Source organism: Homo sapiens, chromosome 3 (genome assembly GCF_000001405.40).
Source record: "Homo sapiens chromosome 3, GRCh38.p14 Primary Assembly".
NCBI classification, from domain to species: domain Eukaryota; kingdom Metazoa; phylum Chordata; class Mammalia; order Primates; family Hominidae; genus Homo; species Homo sapiens.
The window spans coordinates 174373403-174382123 of NC_000003.12; the positions used below are offsets into that span (position 1 = coordinate 174373403).

Genomic DNA, 8721 nt, shown 5'->3' on the forward strand with positions numbered 1-8721 from the left:
ATCTAAAAATAAATTTAATAACCAGAATATAGAAGAAGCTTAAACAACTCAATAGCAGAAAAAAAATACAATCTGATTTAAAAATCAGCAAGAGATCTGAATAGACATTTCTTGAAAAAAGACAAATGGCCAACAGATTATAAAAATAATGTTCAACATCACTAATCATCAGAGAAATGCTAATTAAAACCACAATGAGATATCAACTCATCCCAATTAAAATGTCTCGTATCAAAAACACAGGTAACAACAGAGGCTGGCAAAGATGTGAAGAAAAGGGAATGCTTGTACCCTGTGGGTGGGAATGTAAATTTATACAGCCACTGTGGAGAACAGTATGGGGGTTCCTCAAAAAACTACAAATAGAACTACCATATGATCCAGAAAATCCACTGCTGGGTATATACCCAAAAGAAAGGAAATCAATATATTGAAGAGATATCTGCACGCTCATATGTATTACAGCACTCTTCACAGTAGTCAAAATAGGTAATCAACCTAAATGCCTATCAAAAAAGTTATATATATGTATATATATATATACACACATATATACACACACAATGAAATATTATTTATCCATAAAAAAATGAATTCCTGTCATTTGCAATAACATGGATGGAACTGGAGATCATTATGTTAAGGGAAATAAGCCAAACACAGAAAAATGATTATCACATTACTTACTCATATGTGGGAGCTAAAAAGTGTATCTCATGAAGATAGACAGTAAATTGGTGGTAACCAGAGGCCAGGAAGGGTAGAAAAAGAAGGGGGGGATGAAGAGGAAGAAAATAATATAAATGTTTTTATTACCACTGAACTGTAAAGATGGTAAAATTTGTATGTATATTTTAACTCAAAAAATATTAAGACAATGTTAAATATTACTTTATTTATTTATTTGACAAATTCTGCAAGATTTTTCTCATTTGCCTAACTTTTAAATGCTATTTTAAGCTGGAATCATGGCATAGAAAAAGTCTCTATCCTCATTAACATTACATTCTTATCTAATTAGATGAAGTAAAACTGTGGAAACAGCCTTAATTTCCTATAAGGTAGAAATGATTAGGTACATTATATGCATGTGATGAAATGCTAAGTAACTATTAAACATCGTTTACCTACATATATTAACTTGGAAAGTTCACCAAGATTTACTGTGAAGGATCTGTATTGCTCTCCAGTGTGTAGCATATGGCTCCCCAAAAGACAGTAACTGGCATACAAATGAATAATTTATAATGTTAATATTTGTCCAATTATCTTTGGGTAATTAGAATATAGTAATTTATTTTCTTAGTTATATGTTCCATATTTTCAGATTGTTTACCATTACCGTGTATTATGTCTACCCCTAATAAATATGTTAGTAAATGTTGACAATGTCACTTAATAATATTAGATACTATTACTAGTATTTTAATAACTATGACTTATTTTTAGGTATAAATAAAAAGCCTAATATTAACCTGGAAAAGCAATAATTTTGGAGATAATAAATTGGAGAGAACTTCACTGAAGCATATAAGCCCTTTTTTTCTAGGCCTTCTTTCTTTGTCGGCTTACCAAGAATCATCCTTCAAAGATAAATGGGTGTGTGTGTGTGTGTGTGAATATTTGTTCATATTCTCCCAGTTAAAGGATTTTGTTCTATATCAAAAAGAAAATTTCAAAATATTTTCATTTTTCACGTGGAACTGTTTTTAACCCTTTATTTTAAAAGGATACAGAAAGAAAAGAATAAAAATTTCTACCATCTCACATAGAATCAACTACACAATTTATTATAGTTTGACACATAAAATTTGGAGAAAATACAGACTTCAATATGATAGGGACAATGAGAACACTGCAATAATAATCTTCATTTCAATAATTGCTAACATGAATTAAGATCTTAATATATTCTAGGACTCATGCTTTATACATAACATGCATTATTATCTCATTAATCCTTCAAGAAATGTTTTATGTAAAAACAACTATGTTCCCCCATTCCACAGATTTATAAAAAGGGTACAGTGGTTTCATCTATAGCTAGTGAGTAGAAGAACCCATGTACAAATAAAAGTCTGTCATGCTCCAAAGCCAATTATTGTAATCTCTGCTTTTTTGCACATATGAGGTATTTCAGAGTTCAAATTTTTGAGGTTGTTAATCTTTGTTAAAAAATGATAAGACTCTTCAGACAAGAAAGGGCATATGTCTCCCCTCCTGCCTATTTACCTAAAGATGTTTTCCCCTACCTTTCCTGGCCTCTGGTTACCACCAGTTTACCCTCTTTCTTCCTGAGACCTATTTTTAGCGCCCACGTACAAGTGAGAACATGTGATATTCATTTTTCTGTGTTTGGCTTATTTCCCTTAACATAATGGTCTCCAGTTCCACCTACGTTATAGAAGACTGTCACTATACATCCTGCCCACTTGAGTAGGTTCAGTATCTAGAAGACTTATCAGCATTCGGTCCCAGTATATGCAGAGCTGGTATCCAGCACAAGGAAAAAGAGGAGGCAAGACCAAGTAGAAGAAATAGGGAGCAGGCAATTCTCTTGAACAAGGAGTCAAGGAGCCTAGTCACAGGCTCGAGGAAAGCAGGTAACATTTATTGTTATTTATTTATTCTCCCAGTTGTTGTTTAAAAGAATTTGTGGAATATAATATGTAGGTAGATATACACACATACATATTAATGCACACTGTGTAAATTGCTTTCTAGCATTGTTACTTAACCTCTATACATGTCCACCTTCCTATCTGTTAAATGGCAAAGATAACTACCTTAAAGTTGTATCATGTATATTGTAAGAGATAATTAATTCAACATGCTTAAATGGTACCCAGTATTATATATGTACTTGATATTTGAAGAAACTTCTTCAGTCCCAGAAACATTCATATCTATGGGTATTTAGTCTTTTGCACTAATGAAGCTAAAAATTTGATTAAAAATATAAAATAGTAGAAGATTTTATTTGAACAATGGTGCAAACAAGTCATTTATCTTTCTATGTTGGATTGCTATGGCTGTCATAATTAAATTATTTAGTTGTACTACACAATCTTAAAAAATGCAAACAACAGTGACTCAGACTTAGTTAACATAAGAATCTACCACAAACTTTGTTCAACTGATAAGGTCTTAGGGAGGGTGCAGAAGTCTTCATTTTGAGATGCAATAGCACAAAGTCTTATTCTCTTATAATGAACTACAGAACAGTGAATAAATGTAATTGTTCTACTTGAACTGATGCTTTCTCTCTTTTGTTAAATAGCTTGGAGCTAATAAAATGACATTTCTTCACATTCTATAATTCAGTGCTTTCAGGAATTTAGATAGATCTTGACAAATAGTATTAATTAGTGAAGTTTTACTATTGGTTCATATTCTGTGCTATTACCTTCAATATTTAAAAACTAACTTTGAGGGGTTTGAACTATACTTGCAGTTTAAATAGTAGAATTGCTTTATATGGTTTGAACTATACTTGTAGTTTAAATAGTAGAATTGTTTTATATAACTGATGTATTAGTAATTTTAAAAGGTCATATTTGGCTGGACACAGTGGTTCACGCCTGTAATCCCAGCACTTTGGGAGGCCGAGGCGGCCGGATCACAATGTCAGGAGTTCAAGACCAGCCTGGCCAAGATGGTAAAACCCCGTCTCTACTAAAAATACAAAAAAATTAGCCAGGCGTGGTGGCGGGCGCTTGTAATCCCAGCTACTCAGGAGGCTGAGGCAGAGAACTGCTTGAACCCTGGAGGTGGAGGTTACAGTGAGACCGAAATATCATATTCGGTCTTTAGGCCGCGCTTGTGAGCAGGACCCGTCGCCATGGGCCTCATGGTCTGTGGACAGCGGAAGGGCGCCGGGGCTGCGTTTCCCGCGCAGGTGAAGCACCGTCAGGGCACAGCGCGCCTGCGCGCTGTGGACTGCCCCCAGCGGCTACAAGAGCACCGTGAAGGGCGCTATCCACTACCCGGGCTGCGGCGCGCCCCTCGCCAAGGTGGTCTTCCGGAATGCACCGGTTTAAGAAGTGGACGCAGCTGTTCATTGCCGCTGAGGGTATTCACATGGGTCAGTTTGTGTATTGCGGCAAGAAGGTCCAGCTCAACATTGGCAGTGTTCTCTCTGTGGACACCATGCCTGAGAGTACGACCGTGTGCTGCTTGAAGGAGAAGCCTGAAGACCGTGGCAAGCTGGCCCGGGCATCAGGGAACGGTGCCACCGTTATCTCCCACAACCCTGAGACTCAGAAGACCCATGAAGCTGCCCTCCTGCGCCAACAAGGTTATTTCCTCAGCCAACAGAGCTGTGGGTGGTGTAGTGGCCAGAGGTGGCCGAAATGACAAAGCCATCTTGAAGGCTGGCCGGGCCCACCACAAATATAAGGCAAAGAGGAACTGCTGGCCACGAGTACGGGGTGTGGCCATGAACCTTGTGGAGCATCCTTTCGGAGGTGGCAACCACCAGCACATCGGCAAGCCCTCCACCATCCGCAGAGATGCCCCCGCTGACCGCAAAGTGGGTCTCATTGCTGTCCGCCAGACTGGACGTCTCCGGGGAGCCAAGACTGTGCAGGAGAAAGAGAACTAGTGATGAGGGGCTCAGTAAAGTTTGTCCTTCTGCCACCAAAAAATAAATAAATAAATACAAATAAAAGATAATATTCATTCCCAACTCTCTTAAATGTTTTTCCACAGTCGAAACAGATGTATTATGAGTTTTTTGTTACATAAATATAGGATTATTGTAAAAGAGTTGAGTGGTACATAAAAGTGTAAAGAAGAGATTATATATCACCTAAAACCCCACCAGCCTGAGATAAAAAACATTAGTCATTTAGTAACCATATGTTCGTGCATTTCTCTATCAATATAAATCTACACGCACATACGTAGTTGTGTGTGTATATATACATACATATACATAATTTTATATTAAAAATCAATCACATTGTATATGTTGTTTTACTTTGAATTTTTATAAGTGCTGTCTTTTGTGGGGTTTTTGCTTGTCTCTCTTCTTCCTCTAGTTCCCCACTCTATCTCTATACATTCCCAATATTACATCTCCCTCCCTCACTGTGTAACCAATTCATGAAGTGGTATTTATCTTTCTCATAAGCACATATATCAATTTACCATTGTTTATTTTACAAAAACGTAATCATCTTACGTACAACTCTCACATCTTTCTTTTTTCATATATAAATTTATATATATATTCATATATATTTCATATATTATATATATATATATATAATTCATTCTTTGGAATCCCAACTCATCACTTAGTAGCAGTGACTTGGGCAAATTGTTTTGTTTCTGAGTTTGTATCTGTAATATGGGGATAATTATTGTAACTATTTCCTTGGGTTGTTATTAAGCACAATATATTAGTCCATATAAAGTGCTTAGAACCACACCTTACTCAAGTGCCATGGAAGCATTAGCTATTATTTATAATAGGTGCAGAATATTTTTTCATGGTAGAGATGTAAAAAATATATTCAACCAGAAAGCCCCTAATTAAATAATGGATCTAAGTAATGATCATCAATGGATACTAAACTCTTTGGATGAACAGTAGCGGGGGGTGGAGGGGTTGATTAGACAGACAACACCTGAATTCATTCAATAATGTTAAAGAAAAAAGTGGGACAACTAGATATTATTTGCTTACAGAGGTGATAAAATGGGAAGTATTTAGCACCATCTATGAAACATTATTGTCCAAGAGTCACAGAAACTTCTTTAATCTTATAATCTCCTCATGTGTAAAAGCTAGCATTCTTCAAGTCTTGGAATTAGAAAGGAACTTTATCACCTGTTTGGCTATTTCTGCTGGAGAAGGAGACAAGCATATTTTTCTAGGAACACTCATTTTCCTCCTGGATATTTGTGGATCTCTGTAGGGCAAGCTGCCTTCAGGATTCACAGAATTTTTATCAGCACCTCATAGTTCTCCATTACTGGTCCCCGAAGGCATCCCTAAGAGCAGAAGGGGAAAAGGTCTTGCATTTCTCTTCATCTGTTCTTGGAAGAACCAAGGCCTAGCTCCTACCCTCTAGACCCCCTGTGAGCTGGTCCAACAGCTGCTTGGCTCAGGAAAGACAGTTTGTCATTGATTCGGACGGGGGGAAATATTCAAGCCACCATCTTCAAAAATGAAAGCCTTCACTATTGGCTAGGTCCAGTCGCTCACACCTGTAATTTCAGCACTTTGGGAAGTCAGGGCAGGAGGATCACTTGAGTCCAGGAGTTCGAGACCAGCCTGGGCATCATAGCAAGACCCCATCTCTACTAAAAATCAGAAAAATTAGCTGAGTGTGGTAGTGCATGCTACAATGTAGCTGTAGTCCCAGCTACAAAGGAGGCTGAGGCAAGAGGATCACTTAATCTCAGGAGTCTGAGGCTGCAGTGAGCTGTGATTGCACCACTGAACTCCAGCTTGGGTAACAGAGCAAGACACTGTCTCAAAACAAACAAAACCCACCACAAATAACAACAACAACAAAAAAGGCTTTACTATATGTTTCAAAAAACAAAGTGATTTTCATAAATTACACAGATTTTAAGCAGAAAAAGGAAGGTAAAGCTCAGATGAAATTACATCATTGAGCCATAAAGGAAAAGAGTTATCATCCCATTAGAGGAAACTCGCATTGACTGAAGAAGGACAAGATGATATTTTATACTTTGGGAACCTGAACAACTAAAAAGGAAAAGAGAAATAAATATAAGTAATTAAAAATTAAAAAGTGCAGAATCGCCATACTTTTTGTCTTTCTTCTATGGGAAGATTCTAACATTATTGAGTATGCAGGTAAAAGAGAATGGAGTTGGCACCTTGAGTTTTTCCTTCTATGCCCTCTGAGGAGTGTGGCATTATATATGTACCTTGCCATGAAATAAATATCACCATAAAAGAGGAAGTCAAACATAAATGCTCTGCAAATTCTAGCAGACCTGCTTTATGTCTGTTCATTTCTGGAGCTGTCCAGATACAACTTATATGGTATTTTTTTTTTCTAAAAAATCAGAGCTATATTTTTAGAATTTATAATAACTAGTTGAGCAACAATGATACATTTTCCGTAAGAACCATTTTTACTCCGTTTTAATAAGGTTGGTATACATGGAGTGCAGGGCAGCAGAGCAGCCGCAGGCAGAATACATGGGACTGCTATGAAGCAGGAAAAGTTTCCCTTAGGAAAAAACTATGCCTTTAACGGTGTGACCTAGTTGAAGAGCTCCAGACATAAAAATTCAGCCTTCCCAAAGCATGAAGCTTTCATTCTTCTGTAACTGCCATGGTAAGAATAACTCCAGAGAGACTGTAAAAGAATAGTGCTGTTGTCATTATCATTCTTGTGTAAAGAAAAAAATATGTATGTCTAAAGGTGTTTCTTTTTCCATTTTATCAAGGTTCTTTGTTTGGAAACTTTTAAATATGATCTTACAACTCTGCTTCTAAATAATATACCTGCTATAAGATAGTAAATACTCAATTTGTGTTACTCAATTCAGCTCTACTTAAATTATTTTCTTATAAAAGTTCAGAAGATCATCTACTTATGACTTGATAGTACCTGTAGGATGCTATGACACGTGTGAACCAATAGCAATGCAGTAAAATTTCATGAAACAATGATTAATAAACTCGGCCCTGATGAGTACTCACATGCTAAGTGACATTTCGCCTACTATGTTGGGGATATAGTTGTTAGACTTTAGATCTGAAGAAATCTCCAGAGACTATCAGGTTTATACCCTTCTCTTCAAATATTTGAATACCATTCAAGACTGACAGTTGCTTGCTTTCTTCATAAAGATGTTGCAGGACAGAGATTCCATAATTTTCAAGATTTTTAACATTCCACTTACAAAATTGCCTGCAGTTATCCCTCTAAAAATTTTATATTAATAATATTATTTCAAAACTGTGGGATTTTTATATTCTGGAAGAACTGGGACGTAAAATGAAGAAGCTGAATCCTTAAAAGAGTGAGTAGGATTAAAATTCCATCTTCTCATTGCTAACTGATTCTTTCCTGTATAATATGCTACCTCAAAAGTGAACAAAAATTTTACAATAGTATTTTAAAATATCTTCATCCATTACTAGTCAGAGTGACTTTGTCTTTTAATTTTTATATCCTTACTTCTATCACCTTGTAGGCACAATATAAGAAAGGAATGATAAAAACCCATGTAAACATAACACAATTTTTTAAAAAGAAATACTGTAATTGGTTAATAAATTCTCACAAGTTAAGAGAAATTTGTTTAAGCCAGACCATTTTACTCATAGGCAAAATGAAGAAATTAAACTAGAGGATTTGTAAGATACCTTTCTATTAAAAGGGTTCAGAACATGTCTCGCCAAAATATACCACTTTGGGGTATTATTTTGAGCTAATAGAAATTGAGGACCAACAAACACAGTTGCTAAATCAAGTTTAGCCTAAAGCTGCCTGCTTACCTATTTTAGGTTCAGCCTAAAGACTTCTCTGTAGGTAGGTAACTATAGCTTAAATGGGGGTGTAAACAGACTGTAATGTACTTTTGTGCCAATCGCCAAGTTTTGACCAATCAACAGGGGCCAATTGTTCAAAACATGTTCAAATAAGGCAAACACCAAGTTGTAACCAATTTGGCTGTTTCTATACCTTACTTCTGCGATCTGTACCTTGCTTTCCTTTTTCCCTC

General features: G+C 36.2%; 1 pseudogene; it reads left to right on the forward strand.

Annotated features, from left to right (window-relative positions):
- RPL8P4 (ribosomal protein L8 pseudogene 4) lies at positions 3807-4638 on the forward strand (annotated as a pseudogene).